The 19,830-nt window shown below is 37.5% G+C and overlaps 2 long non-coding RNA genes across 3 annotated transcripts in view; one reads left to right on the forward strand and one right to left on the reverse strand.

Annotated features, from left to right (window-relative positions):
* CXXC4-AS1 (CXXC4 antisense RNA 1) overlaps positions 1 to 19,830 on the forward strand; it is a 206,628-nt gene that overhangs the window by 18,546 nt on the left and 168,252 nt on the right. The gene's annotated exons all lie outside the window — the stretch shown is intronic.
* LOC124900745 (uncharacterized) overlaps positions 4,505 to 19,830 on the reverse strand; it is a 141,925-nt gene continuing 126,599 nt past the window's right edge. Inside the window, exons 2-5 of one of the 2 annotated variants that reach the window (XR_007058211.1) lie at positions 13,687 to 13,809; positions 10,788 to 10,846; positions 9,067 to 9,944; positions 4,505 to 6,567 (exon numbers count right to left, since the gene is read on the reverse strand). This is a non-coding gene — a long non-coding RNA (uncharacterized LOC124900745). The remainder of the gene's footprint in view (positions 6,568 to 9,066; positions 9,945 to 10,787; positions 10,847 to 13,686; positions 13,810 to 19,830) is intronic. The other variant, XR_007058210.1, reaches the window with a different exon arrangement.

A 19,830-nucleotide genomic window follows, 5' to 3' on the forward strand; every position in this document is an offset into this window, starting at 1 on the left:
AAATGAATGTACACCTTTGCAGTGGATTTTTAGCCGCTCAGGAGCAGAATGCTAAGAAATGTGTTCCTGGATTCATGCAGAGTAGATGATAGGCATTGTGAGTGTGGTCAAACTTCATGAAGATGATAGAATTAGTATATGTTAATCTGCTGCTAACAGTAACAGCAAATGCTTAGTGAGCTCTTGGGCAAAGATTTCATCTGTACCCATCTCTTCATGTTCACAATGGCCTTACTTGATGCATACCTTAACAACCCCCATTTTCCAGATAAGGAAAATAAGATTAAATAACTCCCTCAAGTGTAGCTGAGACTCTCTAGTGTTTTAAACTCTGTTGACATTTGGTGTGCTTTTCTGGTTCTGAACTTCAAGGAGATGAATCAAAATTCCCTTTATTCATGTTAGCTATAGGCTTTGGGTTCAAATTCTTAAATTTCTTTGGTGGTAATTTGGGCATTTAAAATATAACTTATTTAATTTTCACAACATATATTTTTTAACATTTTGAAGTTTTATAAATATAAAATGAATTATGTTCCATAATAATCTGTTATTATCTTTTAAGAAAATTTTACAAAGAATGTATTTGAAAATATATATAAGCCAGGATGTGGCTGGTAGCTCAGAAGAACGGGGTAGAGTAGGGCCAAAATTGATGACAAAAAAGACGAAGTTTAATTACACAAATTATCACTAGGCTTAGCACAGTCTACATATAAATAATTCTTGGTCAGCCAGGATATCTTATTTCACTCATCTAATAATGTATAATGTTCATGTCTGTTTCTAGCACCCGTATTGATTTTTCTCCTTTTTGTTATGAAATATAACATGTATATTAAAAATAATAGGGAGTAATATAATTAATACCATATAATCTTTACATAGATTTTAAAACATCAATTTTTTTTCCATTTCTTCAGAATTTTCAAAAGTAAGTGAAACAAAAGCTACAGGTAGATTTGAAAGCCTATTTATACTCACACACTATCTGGTTGGGTACATAATTCTGTACATATTCTTTACATATATGTAGCAATACTATTATATGGTGACCATAATTCTGCAACTTGCGGTTTTAGGGTTTTTCCATCTTCAAATTTTCCAACACACTTAACAGGTTCCTTTCTTGAGATTTACATTGGTTATTCCCTTTTCCAGGAGCATATTTCCTTCAGGTTTCAACATGGCTAACTTCAAGTCTTTTCTCAGATGTTATTTTTTCAATGAGACCTACATTTTACCACTCTTTATTGAAAGTCCAACCCACCACTTCTCCTCTTCTCACCCTAGTTCAGGCATTGTGATCCTCCGCACATAATTATTTTTCCCTATAGATTTTATCGACATTTCAGTTAAAATGTGCTGCACTGCCTAGATTTTTCCTTTACTCTCGTAGAGTCACTCATTCCCCTATTGCTGGTGGTGACTTATAAAGCTAAACTGAGTTCCCCTCCAACAATTGCCCTAAGAGAGCAGCCTCACTGAAGGTTATGTCCCTCCTAAAGGGCAGCCCGCATACAATGATTAGCCTTTGCAAGAGGCTAGATGGTCTGTCCCCCATGCCTAACGTTGGAATAATTGTAATGGGCCAGCCAAACTCTAGAACTTCCTGTAGGATCAGCTGAATCTTCTGTTGCAACTGCATCACTGTTCAGCTTCTCCTTCTGACCAGTTCTTCTCCTCTCATACCTCACAATTGTTTCTGAGATCTCTATCCAGTATTCCTTGTGTACACACCTTTTTTGTTATCAGAGTTCTATGAAGATTGACCTTTGACGTTTATACTAGAGCTAATCCTAGAAAGCAGAGTCTAAAATGGGATGTTTGTAGGTTCATGATTTTATTTGGCCAGCTGTCAAGAAAAACTCCTTCAATGGGGGTAGATGGAACATTGTTAGGTCCAGATATTTGGTTGCAGTGAAATTATTAAAATTTTCAGTGATGTGGAACTGGGAACAGATAGGCATTAAGGGGAATTCACTGGCAGGTAAGCTATCCCAGGAGTTTGAATTTTTCAGGGATGATAGTAATTTTAAGAAATTTGGAATTAGATGGCTATTTCTTCAGGGCAATGATACATGGAGAATGGCAAGAAAAGTGTGAATGTTATTAACAACTAATATAAAAAGAGTCTGCTGTGGCCAGTGGAGAGCAAAAGCTAGAGATTCAACATTTAATTAAAGAGCAGCACACTCTTTAAAAAGTGGAATCCTCAACTTCAGGATCTGCTATGCCAAGATTAGGTCCCTGATTTGAAAAGAGTAGAACTTTGAAAACTGGGATGTGGATATCTGGATTGAAGCACTTCCAAACTTTGAATCTCCAGATTCTCTTGAACTCTTTTAGACTGTCACAGTGATACACTCCTCTTTGCTAATTAATGGGCTGGCCTACCTCTGCTTGAGATGTCTTCCTTGCGAGACCAGTTGTGCTCTCTTTAGGATATACCACCACTCTCCATCCCCCATGCCCCAAACAGTAAACCAATAACTGGGTTAAGTCACAACCTAACCCATCAGGGGACATGCTGAAGTAGCAAAGGGATTGTAACCTGAAGCAAAAACTAGCCAGTGTATAGTGGCAGCATCCAGGAGAGTATACATGGGACTGGATTCTGAGGATGCTGGATAAAAGAGAGTTTATTGATGTGAGAACACTCTCCAGGTTACACGATTTAAAACCTATGCAAGGTCTCTGGGATGTGGAGCAAACAAGGTACTAGGATGACTCCTAGAAGCTTAGAGAAAGTAATGGACTACACTCTGTGAGGTTGAAGTGCCAGAACTACTTTATCTTACAGTTGTAGAGGGATCAAAGGGCTCACAGAAGTGGGCATGCTAGAGTGGATACACTAACTAGGTCAGAAAACCTACCAGACCACTATGATCCATGAGAGGAAATTTCATTTACCAAAGGAAAAAGGCATATGCTGGTGAGAAGGGCATGGGCATTACTGAGAAGCTCAGTGGTGGCTGTCTTCTATCAGCCAGGGATGAGGGTAAGAGATGCTGTTAATAACTGGGCTCACTGATAGCAATGGGACTCATAGGATCCCTAATTAATAGAGACCAGGTGGCAGTGCTGAACTGTCAGACACCAGTTGGGGCAATTATTATAATGAGCAGCAACATCAGAGTGGCAGCCAGGAGAGAGAACCTGTGGAGAGCTATAGAGGTGGTTAGCAGAATACAGCATGTCTAGGTACAGTAAGACATATGTGCAGCCAACAAAGGCACAATGTATACAACCAAAATAAAGGATGGAAGATGAGGAGGCTGAGGGAAGTCATCCAAATAAAATGTTTCAATCCCTTTTCCAGATTCCAAGTCTGAGCCAGTTTTGCAGACCTCGAAATTGCTGCTTGTAGGCTAGACTTTTGCCTCAGAAGGAAGAAACCTGCCACACCACAGAAAGTACACAGTAATGATTCTCCCAGTCCCTCCCAATCAGACCTTGCCATTTACTTGGGTAATTGTACAGTGAAGTAAGAGAGAAAGAAAAACATACTTCAAGACTTGCTAGACACAAGGTCCAAGCTGACATAGATACCTGGGAGGCCGAAAGCAGCAACACTCTCCTGCTTGGGAGAGGATGGTACTTATTAAATGGAGTCAAGCCCCAGGTGTGGCTCACGGTGGATTCACTGGGACCACTGGGTTTGCAGACTCACTTGGTCTCTGAATGAACAATTGAAATAGACATAATTAGATTTTGAAAATACCCCACATGTGTTCTTTGGCCACGGGCTAAGAGCTATCATGGTGGGAAAGACAAAAAGTCAAAGTCACTGGAACTTGCCCCTCACAGTGGTCATGGATGAATTGCTATTGAAACCAGGGGAGAGTAAGCAAATTATTGCCACTGTTAAAGACATAATAGATTCAAAATTAGTGACTTGCATTATATTTCCATTTAATTTTCCAAACAGGTCTCTAGAAAACTCAGATGGATCCTGGGTTTACGGCTTACTGTAACTCAATTAAAAGGAAACCCCAGGTGCAGTTGCTTTGCTAGATAAGCTATTCCTGCTGGAACCAGTTAATGCTTCCAGTCCATGGTATGTAATAAGTGATCTAGCCAGGGTATTCTCTTCCACCTCTTCAGACAGGAGGGCAAGAAACCATCTGTATTCACTCTGAATGGACAACAGTATACTTTTCAGTTTTCATACAGCACTACCTTAACTCTCCTGTCCTGAATCAAGAATTAGTCTGAAAGTATCCAAATGCAGATTCTATCTGTCTACTTCTCCTATTCTCAGAGGGAGAAAACTTGCAACAGGCAGCACAAGGAGCATCTCTTAGTCATTAAACTTAGTCATTAAGCTATCATTTTGGGCTACTTGTACCTATTTCCTTCTGTTCTCTTAGTTGTTCTTCCCAAGAGCATCCTCCAAAACACTCCTGAATGCGAATCACCGAGTCTGACAGCCTGTTTTCTCAGGAACTGGGCTTCACCAACTTTTAACCTACTGTAGTATTTAACTCATTAATTGCTCTTATTTTTTTAATTTTTTTTATTATACTTTAAGTTCTAGGGTACATGTGCACAAAATGCAGGTTTGTTACATATGTATACATGTGCCATGTTGGTGTGCTGCACCCATTAACTCGTCATTTACATTAGGTACATCTCCTAATGCTATCCCTCCCCCCTCCCCCCACCCCACAACAGGCCGCAGTGTGTGATGTTTCCCTACCTGTGTCCAAGTGTTCTCATTGTTCAATTCCCACCTATGAGTGAGAACATGCGGTGTTTGGTTTTCTGTCTTTGCGATAGTTTGCTGAGAATGATGGTTTCCAGCTTCATCCATGTCTCTACAAAGGACATGAACTCATCATTTTTTATGGCTGCATAGTATTCCATGGTGTATATGTGCCACATTTTCTTAATCCAGTCTATCATTGTTGGACATTTGGCTTGGTTCCAAGTCTTTGCTATTGTGAATAGTGCCGCAATAAACATATGTGTGCATGTGTCTTTATAGCAGCATGTTTTGTAATCCTTTGGGTATATACCCAGTAATGGGATGGCTGGGTCAAATGGTATTTCTAGTTCTAGATCCCTGAGGAATCGCCACACTGACTTCCACAATGGCTGAACTAGTTTACAGTCCCACCAACAGTGTAAAAGTGTTCCTATTTTTCTACATCCTCTCCAGCACCTGTTGTTTCCTGACTTTTTAATGGTCGCTATTCTAACTGGTGTGAGATGATATCTCATTGTGGTTTTGATTTGCATTTCTCTGATGGCCAGTGATGGTGAGCATTTTTTCCTGTGTCTGTTGGCTGCATAAATGTCTTCTTTTGAGAAGTGTCTGTTCATATCCTTCACCCACTTTTTACTGGGGTTGTTTGTTTTTTTCTTGTAAATTTGTATGAGTTCTTTGTAGATTCTGGATATTAGCACTTTATCAGATGAGTAGACTGCAAAAATTTTCTCCCATTCTGTAGGTTGCCTGTTCACTCTGATGGTAGTTCCCTTTGCTGTGCAGAAGCTCTTTAGTTTAATTAGATCCCATTTGTCAATTTTGGCTTTTGTTGCCATTGCTTTTGGTGTTTTAGACATGAAGTCCTTGCCCATGCCTATGTCCTGAATGGTAATGCCTAGGTCTTCTTCTGGGGTTTTTATGGTTTTAGGTCTCATATTTAAGTCTTTAATCCATCTTGAATTAATTTTTGTATAAGGTGTAAGGAAGGGATCCAGTTTCAGCTTTCTACATATGGCTAGCCAGTTTTCCCAGCACCATTTGTTAAATAGGGTATCCTTTCCCCATTTCTTGTTTTTGTCAGGTTTGTCAAAGATCAGATAGTTGTAGATGTGTGGTATTATTTCTGAGGGCTCTGTTCTGTTCCATTGGTCGATATCTCTGTTTTGGTACCAGTACCATGCTGTTTTGGTTACTGTAGTCTTGTAGTATAGTTTGAAGTCAGGTAGTGTGATGCCTCCAGCTTTGTTCTTTTGGCTTAGGATTGACTCAGCAATGCGAGCTCTTTTTTGGTTCCATATGAACTTTAAAGTAGTTTTTTCCAATTCTGTGAAGAAAGTCATTGGTAGCTTGATGGGGATGGCATTGAATCTATAAATTACCTCTGGCAGTATGGCCATTTTCATGATATTGATTATTCCTATCCATGAGCATGGAATGTTCTTCCGTTTGTTTGTGTCCCCTTTTATTTCATTGAGCAGTGGTTTGTAGTTCTTCTTGAAGAGGTCCTTCACATCCATTGTAAGTTGGATTCCTAGGTATTTTATTCTCTTTGAAGCAATTGTGAATGGGAGGAAGTCAAATTGTCCCTGTTTGCAGATGACATGATTGTATATCTAGAAAACCCCATCGTCGCAGCCCAAAATCTCCTTAAGCTGATAAGCAACTTCAACAAAGTCTTAGGATACAAAATCAATGTGCAAAAATCACAAGCATTCTTATACACCAATAACAGACAAACAGAGAGCCAAATAATGAGTGTTCTTATTGTTTATCTTCTCTTTCCTTCCTGTAGAATGTGAGATCCATGAGGGTGAGAATTTTTGTTTGCTTTCCATCTGGATGTAACCCAACACCTACAACAGATTCCACCACATTAAACACACTCAAGAAACATTTGACTAAATGTATATTTCATAAAAAAGCTTAATTTATTAACATTAACTTTTGGATATTATGACTGGTGTCACAACTCATGCCTCCGAAAACCATTTGTCTTTTAGAGCATCTTCCTACATGATTTAAACCTTTGGAAATCTGCTCTTTGAAAACTGAAGGCTTTGTTTTAATCAAGTGATCATGTCATTTGCTATTAATTTTTAGTTTTGGCTGGGTGTGGTGGCTCACGCCTGTAATCCTAGCACTTTGGGAGGCCAAGAGGTGTAGATTGCCTGAGCTCAGGAGTTTGAGACCAGTCTGGGCAACGTGGTGAAACCCCATCTCTACTGAAAATAGAAAAATTAGCTCAGCGGGTGGCGGACGCCTGTAATCCCAGGTACTCGTGAGTCTGAGGCTGGAGAATAGCTTCAACCCAGAAGGTGGAGGTTGCATTGAGCAGAGATCAAGTGATTGAATGACAGAGTGAGGCTCTGCTTCAAAAAAAAATTAATAGTTTTGTAATTTTTCAAATTATCTAAACAATACATGTTTACTTTTACTCAAAGAACATAGAGACACATAATGGAAAGGTAGTCACAACTTAGAGTTAAATACTATTGGATGCCCATTCCTTAATACTTCTAAGTATTATATTGATGTATTTTAAAGTTTACCTGTATAAAATATTATGGACTCTTGTTATTAATATCTTTCCCTTTTGTTTTGTTTGGTTACTTATACTACCTCCAGCCCAACTGCTTTCCCCATGACCAAGATTATATTCTACTTTTCTCCATGCATATGTAATCATTTACAAATATGTTTATACCTTTTGGGTTCTGGCATACTTTGTTTTAGGTATTGTGAGGGACAGAGGCACCACCCAGATTGTTCCTCAATGAAGAACTAAAAGCTTGGGGGTGGGGGTGCTATGAGTAGATGCCTCAGTTCCTTCAGTGATTACTAGCTTCAGAGAACTGCCTCACCCATGGTCACACTATTTCCTGAGCAGCCCACATCAAATGACTAATCTAGTTAAGAGTATGACTTACTGGCCATTTGGACCTGATACAGGGACACTCTGATGGCAATTTTAGCTCTAGACCTCCCCATTGGGTCAGCCAAGATTCTCATCAGGCTTGCTTCACAACTCAATTTCACCCTCTGCCCAATTTTGCTTTTTCTCTCCCCTGTTTGTACATGTTAATTGCAAGACACTTACAGATAAATATCTTAAACTTCATCTCAGATTCTGCTTCCTGGAAAATCTAACCTGTGTAAGGGATCATACTACGTATTCATCTCTGCTTCTTGCTTTTCTCTCTCACTATAATCAGACTCTGACCCAGACGATTGACATAGAACTAAGGCTTTCTTTTGAATGACTATGTAATTTTCCAGCATTTTCATGCACCACAATTTGTTCAACTTTCCATACTAGGGAACATTCTAGTAGTTTCCAAATTTTATTTTTAAACATACAAAAAGTTCTGAAATAAATGTCCCTGTCACAGATCAATTTAAACTCAAAATTACATGATTACTTACTTCCAAAGTTCCTGTTACTTTTTTTTCACTAGTCAGTTCTTTTTTTTTTAAATAAAGTTCACATTACTCCACTTATTACTTTATGCACTTTCTGAGAGTTCCAATATTATCAACACAAGCCAATAATTTTTAAAATCCATGGCTAATATCTATAGAATTAAAGTCTTCCACAATTTTTGGTCATTCCTCTTTTCCTAATTTTGTGAAATATATGAAAAAGGTACTTATCAGTATCCTTTAGCTGGGATAAATCGCTCACACAAAGGTAACGAGGCTGCATTCAATCCTCTCAATCTAATTTACATGCACTGAAAAAAATACTAAAAACTGTAAATTTTTAAATCACAAACACTAGGTTGGAATCCTGGCTATACAAAAAATTACATGTGCAATATCCAACTTACTAACACTCTCTCAATTTCAGTTTTCTCATTTGTAAAATGTGAATGCCTTGCCGGGTTTTAGTGAGAACTAAAGATTTTGTAGGTTCATTGCCTGGGAAAGTGCTTTGCATAGAGAAGGTCGTCTATAAGTCATTATAATTTTTTTTCATATTCTTGGATTTTCACACACGGGTGTGTGTGTGCATGTATGTGTGTATATGTATCAATGCTATACTCACATTTTTTTCTAATAGTTCTTTTTCTTCTTAAAGAAATCCACATTTGTTCTGCTTTATGAAAGTAAAGCATACTTTAGGTACTTAGGTTGGTGCAAAAGTAATTGCATTTTTGGACCGTGAAATTTAAATTCTTATGACTAGGCTCAAACACATCCTTATTAATCAAAATAAAAACTATTATGATCACACATTTTTGCCAATGAGAAATAAGTTTGCTTATTCCTATAGCATAAAAATCCATGCTTCAGGATTTGACAAACTCTTGGAAAGAATTTTCTGCATCCTGCTGGTTGTGGAAGCGTTTTACCTGCAAAAAGTTGTGGAGATGCTTGAAGAAGTGGTAGTCTGTTGATGAGAGGTCAGGTGAATATGAAGGATGAGCCAAAACTTGGTAGCCCAATGCATTGAACTTTTGAAGCATTGGTTGTGCGACGTGTGGTTGGGCGTTGTCATGGAGAAGAATTGGGCCCTTTCTATTGACCAATGCCAGTTGCAGGTGTGGCAGTTTTTGGTGCATCTCATAGATTTGCTGAGCATAGTCCTCAGATATAATGGTTTCACCAGGATTCAGAAAGCTGTAGCGGATCAGACCATCAGCAGACTACCAGTGACCATGACCTTCTTTTTGGTGCAAGTTTGGATTTGGGAAGTGCTTTGGAGCTTCTTCCCGGTCCAGCCACAGAGCTGGTCATCACTGGTTGTCATATAAAACCCACTTTTCGTCACACGTCACAATCCTATCAAGACATGGTCCATCGTTGTTGCATAGAATAAGGGAAGACAACACTTCAAAATGATGATTTTTTTAAATTTTCACTCAGCTCATGAAGCACCCACTTATTGAGCTTTTTCACCTTTCCAATTTGCTTCAAATGCCAAGCGACCCTGGAATGGTCGACGTCAAGCTCTTTGGCAACTTCTTGTGTGGTTGTAAGAGGATCAGCTTCAATAATTGCTCTCAGTTGGCAGTTGTTAACTTCTGATGGCTGGTCACTATGCTCCTCATCTTCAAGGCTCTCGTCTCCTCTGCAAAACTTCTTGAGCTACCACTGTACATTTGTTAGCAGTTCCTTGGCCAAATGCGTTGTTGATATTGCGAGTTGTCTCTGCTGCTTTATGACCCATTTTTAAATTGAATAAGAAAATCACTCGAATTTGCTTTTTGTCTGACACCATTTCCATAGTCTAAAATAAACATAAAATAAACAGCAAGTAATAAGTCATTAGCAAAAAGACATAAAGTGAGAAATGTGCATTAAAATGATGTATAACACAACCACACTTAAGAACTTATTCTAATATCAAAAGGCAAATTTCAACAATGCAAAAACTGCAATTACTTTTGCACCAACCTTGTCTTATCTTTTATCTTATCTTATGTGGGCTTTGTGATACCTAATTAGATGCATTTACCTCCTTATAAAATTTCCCAAGTCAACAGAGTATACAATCCTTCACCTACATGAAAAAGCAGAAGTAGATAGAAAAACCTTGTGAACCTGATAAATTAAGCCAGACTTTCAGTTTCAAAACAGAAAGAAACAAAAACAAAAGCAAAACAAACAAAAACATTACAGTTTTAAGGAGCTAGGTCAGATCTAAATTATAACTGTTGCAGAAATGTCATGTGGAGTTAAGTCATATCATTTCTCATCTCCATTCCCTGGGCCTGAAGCTGGTTTCCTCAACTCCTGGTACCTACAAGTCTTCTTTCTTTCTGTGGAAAGAACCAGAAGCTGCTTTTTGTTTTCAGATGATTCTGATTTACCTTATAGGGAATATGCAACCTGTTATACAGTTCCAGTGGTTCAAATTTTTATTTTCCCCTTGATTTCGCGATGTATTCTTAATTTGGCAACATTTTACTATTCTTTTTTTTAACCCCCTTGATCTCCTAGCTTTCTTTTTGGAATATTTCTTCCACTCTCTCTAGCAACTCTACTAACCCAGGTATATACAAACATTGCTTATGATCTTTCATCTCTTCTCTAGGTGAACAGTGATTCAACTCATCCCAGAATCTCTCACCTGTTGGAGATTAGATCCTTAAACCATGAGTTGGAAAGCAGCAAATAGAGTGGAAGAGCCTCCAAAAGAAAACACAAAAGGGGCAATGTATTATCTTTCAGAGAAATCACTCTAAATTTTTACCCAAAGTATGTGGCAGGAGAGAGTGAACCCAAGATGGGACTAGCACTGAGAAAAAAACCAAACCTCATTTTGATGTTGCCCTTTGTGAAATCTTACAGAGCAGAGCTGTACCAGATTTTAGGTAGTATTTAAAAAGTAGCATTTCAGGATGGGCTTTAGAAGATCTAAGTGTAAAACCAGATCTAAGAGTAAAACAAGGGTTCACTTGGAAAATTTTATTAGTGTGAACTTTATGAAATCTTTTATTTAGTAGTCCACAACCTGGGGTGTTACCTATTCCTCTTTGGAGTATTTAGAAATACGAAGGGACATTTTCGATTACCAGAATGTCTGAGTGGCACTACTTGCATATTGTTGGCAATGACCAAAACTATAAGTGTCTTGTGGGTACTCCTGGAAATCCAGCCAATAAAGAACTGCTTTACACAAAATGTCATTAATACTCCAAGAAACACAGTGACATGGATATAATTATACTGCCAGGCTAATCATAACCACACTATTTTACATGTTACCTAGTATAACTCAGTCTATAATGCAGCAGTTACTCCTGCACCCATCACCTCTGATTCTATGTAAATGAAGTCTACAGTTTTCAAAATGATCTATTCAGTATCAAGGCTAGAAAGTCAAAATGGTCCCTTGCAATGAAAAATCAAAAAAATAAAAATAAAAATGCCTAGCAGAAAGAATCTGCCATTTTTACTGCCTCATCAGCTGAGCATGCTTGTTTTCAACACAATACGTGCAACCGAGAAAACAAACTAGCCAGACTCAGAGAACCAAGCCCCACCTAGGCCAAAAGGTTTTTAAGTATTACACAGATATATCTGTGCATACAAACACACAGATAGCCACATACAACTTGTTATTCAAATCAGCAAGGACTAAGACAGTTACGCTATGCTGTTTATTTAAAAAAACTTCTCTGAGGAGAATTCACAGGAATGTTATTGAACATCCTCAAGATACTGATGGCTAAGAGATGAATTATCATTACCACAGTGTAAACAGAAAGACTAGTGAAAATTTCCCAAGTTGCTAAAAACTTCCCTTTATTCAGTTGAAAATGTTTCTAATTATTTGTAAAAGTGCTAATGTGCTCTTTGATAGTGGGACAGAGGTTTAGACATTTATATCCTCATGTGGAGAAAGTTATACCTGACTGGACTAACCGCTGCAACATAATTTTTCTGATTAGCATTGTGTAGAATATAACAATCTAGGCAAGCAGAATGACCTTATCTTCCTTTTGATGTGCATATTTTATTAAGGGTACAAAAATTTTTCCTTACAATCTTTGATTCAACAGTTCTCTTAAAGATTTAGTTTCAAGATATTTGAAACAAGATGATCAGTGACAAGTTAATTAGAAAATGTCCTTAGTATTTGAATAGTTTTCATCAAGGAAGATTTTGAAGGGCAATACTTATTTTGAAAATTGTGTTAAATAAATAAAAGTGCTTCTTTTGCTTCTAGGATCATATTCTAACCTCTATATGCTAGTTTTTACATGCAAAAACTTCTCAAAAATTCTCCCCTCCCCCTTTTCCCTCTTTGCACTAGCAACTGAAGGAAAACCCTATCATATAGAGGAGATTCCATTCAAAAGTACAAACTACACAGAATTTCTTTAATACAGCTCAAAATACTAAAATTAGATTTACAGCATGTAACCCCACTCTTATTTTTATGCTTTAGATTTTTAGTAATGTTTGAATTCTTTTTTTTTACTATTATTATTGTACTTTAAGTTTTAGGGTACATGTGCACAACGTACAGGTTTGTTACATATGTATACATGTGCCATGTTGGTGTGCTGCACCCATTAACTCCTCATTTACATTAGGTATATCTCCTAATGCTATCCCTCCCCCAGACCCCCACCCCACAACAGTCCTCAGTGTGTGATGTTCCCCTTCCTGTGTCCATGTGTTCTCATTGTCCAATTCCCACCTATGAGTGAGAACATGCAGTGTTTGGTTTTTTTGTCCTTGCAATAGTTTGCTGAGAATGATGGTTTCCAGCTTCATCCATGTTCCTACAAAAGACATGAACTCATCATTTTTTATGGCTGCATAGTATTCCATGGTGTATATGCGCCACATTTTCTTAATCCAGTCTATCATTGTTGGACATTTGGGTTGGTTCCAAGTTTTTGCTATTGTGAATTGTGCCACAATAAACATACATGTGCAGGTGTCTTTATAGCAGCATGATTTATAATCCTTTGGGTATATACCCAGTAATGAGATGGCTGGGTCAAATGGTATTTCTAGTTCTAGATCCCTGAGGAATTGCCACACTGACTTCCACAATGGCTGAACTAGTTTACAGTCCCACCAACAGTGTAAAAGTGTTCCTATTTCTCCATAATCTATCCCATGCCTAAACAAACATCTAATATCTTTGGTCCAGTTTGAGATTCGACTTAAAAAGAATCCAGAAGACACTTTTGCAGAGACACAGAAAGTAACAAAGTACAGATGTCATAGAAATTGTAGTCCAGCAGTACCAGGGGAGATGTACTGGCCCAAAGACTCTAATCCTCTAGACTACCTGTAGAGCAAGATATCTTTCCATTTATATCATCTCCATATGGTAACTAGTACTCTATGATGCATAGGTAAAATCCGAGGTTCCCTAGCTTTGGAATATTAGATACTATTAAAAGAGATGAGATTGGGAACATTAATGTCACAAACTAGTTTGCTCAGGAGTTGGGCAGACCTGCTCTCTAACCTAAGCTGTACCACCTGCTGAGTTAGTCTTCTACCTCTTGATGCCTCATCTTCCTCAATGAGATTCATCAGTTGAAAATGATCACTTCTAACTTGAAATTCTATAATGTTGAAAGTCGTTATTTTCCTGAACTTTCTGTAGAAGTTGCAATGGAAGCCTGGAAAACAAAACAATAGAAAACACTTGTAGTTTTAATAACCTACATAAAATAAAACATTCTCTATGCTACATAAATAGCATGAAATATTTTCTATGCCAAAAATTATGAGCAAAAGTACAAGAGCAACCTCCCAAATGGAAAAAAAAATTATAAGAAACATTCCAGAGCGTAATATCTTCATATATAAAAAATTTACACGAATTCAAAAGAAACACACCATTAAAAAAAAACAGGTAAATAAGACAAAAAAGTGATTTACTAAGGTCAAATTTTAAATCACGAATAAACTTATGAATAAATGCACTAGACTGCCTGAAAAGCCTACCATTTTTCTTTCCCATACTCTACTTCCCCATATCTTGAAACCTTTCTTTTGTAACTTTAATTTCTTCTCATCACAACTGGCCACCCTTTCTTCTGCATACAGTCCAATTCTTAATTATGTCTCTTCATTCTCTATTGAGAAATAGAAATAATCAGGCAAAAATTCTTCCCAAACAGCAGCAAATCTATACATCTACTTGCATTTGTTCCTGTGTTTTCTATCCTCCTATTACACGAGTTAAACTGTAGCTATTGCAAGAGCCAGACAAACCCTGTACTTGTTTTCTGAATCCCACATACCCTTATCTTTTCAAGGGCATCTACAAGATACCCCTTCTCATTCCTGTGTAATCAAGATCTTTCTCTCCAGAATTATTCCAATATCCTAAAAAAAAATAAATAAATAAAACTCACTTATAGTATCACATATCCAAAAAGCAAAGAAAGTCTATTGCCCAAATTTTCTTGCCTTTATTAACCACCAGATGTCATGCACAAATGATCTGCTCTGGCTGTATTCCTTGCTCCTCGCTTGTTTATTCTTCCACTTGCAGCAAGTCAGTGTCTGAACCCACATCTCCACAGAAATTGCTATTGTCAACTCCACTGACCACATGTAGTTCACTATTCTAATAATCACTTCTCTGTCTCATTTTACTAGCTCTCTCAGCAGCGTTCCTCTCAGTGATGAATCCTGAAAAATTTCTTTCTTTTAGATCAGGGATACCCCATTCATCTAGTTTCCAGGCTGCTCACTGTCTGATTAATTTCAGTCTCCTGTTCTGGCTCCTCCTTTTTGAACTTGATCTAAATATCACAGTTTCTCAGAGTTTTGCCCTAGACTTCTCTTCTCTTTTTGGTCTGCTTCTCTAGATGATCTTACATAGTCTCATTCATGGCTTTGAATTTTATCAAAGTGCTGACAACTCCAAGGTCTCTGAATTCATCTATCTACCTGTCAATTCATATCTTTACTTTTATATTCCATAGAACCTCAAAAATAAAAGATTCCGTCCAAACTTCTTATTTTGGTGTCCCTCACTGCCTGTTTCTTCCATAGTTTTCCCATCTCAGTAAATGATATCATCAGCCATCAGACTGTTCAAGACAAAACCTAGGAATGAGTCATCTTTGACATCTTTGCATCCATAACCCCCACAGGAAATCCAAAGTGAGTCACATGCTTTTTTATTCAAAATATTTAAAAAATAGAAGCACCATCATGTCTCATAAGGTGCATAGCTATAGTCTTCTACTTTGTCTCTCTACTGTCACTTGAACCACTCTTTTCTACTCTCAACCCAACAGCCAGAAAGTATAACATTTAAAACTCTCCTAAGTCCTCTAGTTGTACATCTAATAAGATCTGACCACCACACTAAGGCCTGCAAGGCTCCATATGACCCATCCTTTTCTATCATACTAACTTTATGTTACAGTACTTTTTCCTGCTAATTACACTTTGTGTTTCCTAAATATCAACTTTGTTGCTTTCTCAAGACCTTTACTCTTAAGTTCATCTCTGCCTGACAGGCCCCCCATCATAGCATCAAACATGTGGTTCATTCTTTAGACTTTGGATCTAAGTTATTTCCTCAGAAAGTATCTTCTCAGACTACCCATTTAAAATGCCCCGACTCTCAAATCAAGCAGTTGTTTTTCAACATTTTTTTCTTCATTACTATCTGGAATATTTGTTTACAGTGTTCTTTGTTTACTTGTTTGTCATCTCTCCTACTAGATTATAAGCTTCTGATTGGCTACATATTTACTGTTTTATGTATCACTTTATATTAGCTACCAGATAATGCAATACATATTTGTTGAATAAATTAGTGAGTTGAAATCACTTCAGATAGCACAGGAAGAAGCCAATGCGCTACCATTTGAAAGTCTGACATAAAACCTTAAATGTAGCATTACAACATCATATAACTGACTTCTCCCCTGAGCTCCACGTACATACAAACTGCTTCCTCAGTATTTTTACTTGGGAATCTTGTAGACACAAACTCCACATATTCGACACAGAATTTTTTATTTAAATCCCCACCAATACATTTAGTTCCTAATTCCCCCTCTCCCCAAAGATGCTTAAGATAAAACCTAGAAATTAAACACATTTTTGTATATGTATATTATACACACACGCATATGTATATCCCATTATATTAAAGTTACATATGCTGGAATATCTATTTGTGGGTCTGTATTTATATGCAGCTATCTATCTGTATTTTAAATAAAATATACCGAAGTGTTCATGATGACTTTATTTCCTTGGGCAATGTGGGATTCAGAGTAATTTTGTATACTTCAGAGTATAAAAAATATGTGTTTATACTGTTTTTTTTCCCTAGGATTTTGTTTCGTTTCTATGGTCTCTTATTTTTTAAAAAGTTTATTTATTTATTTATTTATTTACTTGATACAGGGTCTCTCTCTGTCCCCTAGGCTGGAGTACAGTGCCCAATCATAGCTCACCACAGCCTTGAACTCTTGGGCTCAAGCGATCCTCCCACCTCAGCCTCCTGAGTAGCTACAACTACAGGTGTGTGCTACCATGCCTGGCTAATTGTCTTATTTTACATTTTTAGAGACAGAGTCTCACTATGTTGCCTAGGCTGATCTTGAACTCCTGGCTTCAAGCTATTCTGCTGCCTTCACCTCCTAAAGCACTGGGATTACAGGCATGACCCACTACACCTGGCCATGTGTCATTTTAATAGAAAAAAGTAAAACCTTAAAAAATGGAGGATTCTATAAATTTATGGACTATGGTACTGAGAAGAGGATTACTAAATTTTTCCAGTTCAATAGTACAGATTTCTATACTATTATATAGATTTAACTGGATCCAGTTAAATCTATGATAGTACAGAAATCTAGAAAAAATGACAATTTTGTATGCCATATTTTGGGATGTCATTGTTATTGTGTATGTAAAGGAAAATGAAAAGTTAACTGTAAGCTGCAAGAGCAGAATTATGATTTTCCTAAAAGATAAAACTCTCTATGTATATGTGTGTGTATATATATATATATATATAATTTCTAAAGTAATATTCAAATTACTTTTGTATCATTACCACCAAATTTGTAGAAAACAAAACAAATAGAGTTCTACCAGGAAATTACATCTTTTAAAACTATTGATTATCATTGTAAAGACAATACGTTAGTTAGTGTAGCCAGCAATCATATTATACTATTTTTGCAAGATGTGGGGTAACTGCCTTGAATGGTCAGGTTGCTGGTGCATTTGCTGGTAGCTTGATCTGCAAGTAGAGAAAAAAGTTTGGATTAAATCAATTATTTTTGGAGAATCCCTGCTTTATTTTCAAATTTATTAAGATATATTTTTAGAATATATCCTACACTTTGTTAGGGATAGTATTTCCTTTTCTCTTTTCTTCAACTTTTATTTTAAGTTCAGGGGTACATGTGCCATGGTAGTTTGCCACACAGATCATCCCATCCCCTAGGTATTAAGCCCAGCATCCATTTGCTATTCTTCCTGATGCTCTCCCCCATCCTGTCTCTGACAAACCCTAGTGTGCGTTCTTCCCCCATGTTTCCATGTGTTCTCATCATTCAGCAACCACTTCTAAGTGAGAATATGCCGTGTTTGGTTTTTCTGTTCCTGTGTTAGTTTCCTAAGTATAATGGCTTCCAACTCCATCCGTGTCCCTGCAACGGACATGATCTTGCTTTTTATGCCTGCGTAGTATTCCATGGTGTTTATGTACCACATTTTCTTTATCTAGTTCATCATTGATGGGCATTTAGGTTGATTCCATGTCTTTGCTATCATGGCTGGTGCTTCAATGAACATACGCGTGCATGTATCTTCATAACAGAATGATTTCTATTCCTTTGGGTATATACTCAGTAATGGGATTGCTAAGTCAAATAGTATTTCTGCCTCTAGGTCACTGAGGAATTGCCACACTGTCTTTCACAAAGGTTGAACTAATTTACACTCCGACCAATAGTGTAAGTGTTCCTTTAACTCCACAACCTCGCCAGCATCTGTTTTTGTTTGTTTGTTTGTTTTTTGACCTTTTAATAATTGCCATTCTGACTGGCATGAGATGGTATCTCATTGACGGATAGTATTTCTATGTGATAAGCATCACATTGCTTGTTAAGAGTGATCATATGGATATATGTAACACTTCAAGTTGGTGGAGACTACCATTTCTAGGGAGAAGAAGCAGAAAATAAAGTAAAGAGCATTGTATAAAGAATCACATGTGCTGCGATGAGGATTTTGGATATTACTCACAAGTCCAGTGGTTTTCAACCTGTGCTCCCATGAGCAATTAGGTGTCTCTCAGGGGGAACATCACTTTAAAGCAGCTCAAAATAGACTAAGCACTTGGTCCTTGTCAGTTCTGGTCCTCTGAGAATCAAATTTCAAGACAAGTTTAGACATAAAGGATGTTCTTGGGGAGCTATGAAGGATGAAGGGAAGGCAGCAGGAGCAGGCAGGTGGAGATATTTAGACCACAATGCTGGTTTGTGAAAAGAGAGAGGAAAGAAGAATTGAATAGGAAGAGCCAAACTGCAAAACTGCAAGAAAGTCTTACCTCACCCATGAAGTGTCTCTTAGCCAAAGTTGCCAAAGAGAGAGACTGCATTTTCACGAATGGGACAGCACTAGTATGCACGCTGTGCTTACTCACTGGCTGTAACTAGACTGGTAGAAAGATGGCCTCGGTACAAATATGGTGGATCTGCAGTCAACCATGCTTCTCCAACAGGTTTTCTAGAAGGAGATCCAAGCAGTACCCACTCCATGGCCGCCAATTCTCACCATGCCCATTTCACAAGAGCTGCTACATTTTTGTTTGGTTTATAATTATGTTTTGACTAAGATTACATTTAACCCAAAGGCTCCATTTTCATTCATCAACAAATGTTTATCAAAATGTACTGCACATTGGTATTAACTAATATCTTAGCTATATTACAAAGATACTGCATCAAAAATAAACAAGAAATTCAGCAGCTTGAAATATTAATTATTATCCCAGTCACAAGTTGGCTGGGACTGTTCTGCTTCATTATGCACACCTACAGAATCACTGGAATAAATTGGTTCCATCATTCCAGTGATGGAATGATGAATGGGCATCAGTTTCCCAGTAGAAACTCTAGACAGAGGGAGGGTAAGAACACCAGAGGGGAGGGTAGAGCACATAGAACCTCTTATGACTGGGTTTGGTGCTGTATTCCTGTCATTCTGCCCACATTGCATTGGCCAAAGCAAGTCATGCGGCCAAGGCCAACATCAATGTGTTAGGAAAGCATATTGCCTCTAAAGGAGGGAATATAAAACCACTTGGTAAATGGATACAGCAAGGAGCAAAGAATTGAAAACAGAAATGCAGTCTACCACAGTTAGGCGGTTCAAAGGATTGAACAAGAAAGACAAGGTTTTTGCTCCTTATAGAAATCAGTCTAGTAGGGAGATTAAAACTATAAGTAGAGTGGTGTGGGCTTATAGCACATATTAGATTTGAGAATTATAAGGACTCTGTAGAAACCTAAAGCTACTTTTGAAGATGAGTTCTAAAAGAGACAATAAAAATAAAGAAAGAAAAGATCCAAGGACAGAATCACGGATTTAAGAGATGGTAAAGAATTAGGATCTCCTGAAAGAGATGGTAAGGAAAGGGCCAGATAGAT

This window comes from Homo sapiens, chromosome 4 (genome assembly GCF_000001405.40).
Source record: "Homo sapiens chromosome 4, GRCh38.p14 Primary Assembly".
NCBI lineage: Eukaryota > Metazoa > Chordata > Mammalia > Primates > Hominidae > Homo > Homo sapiens.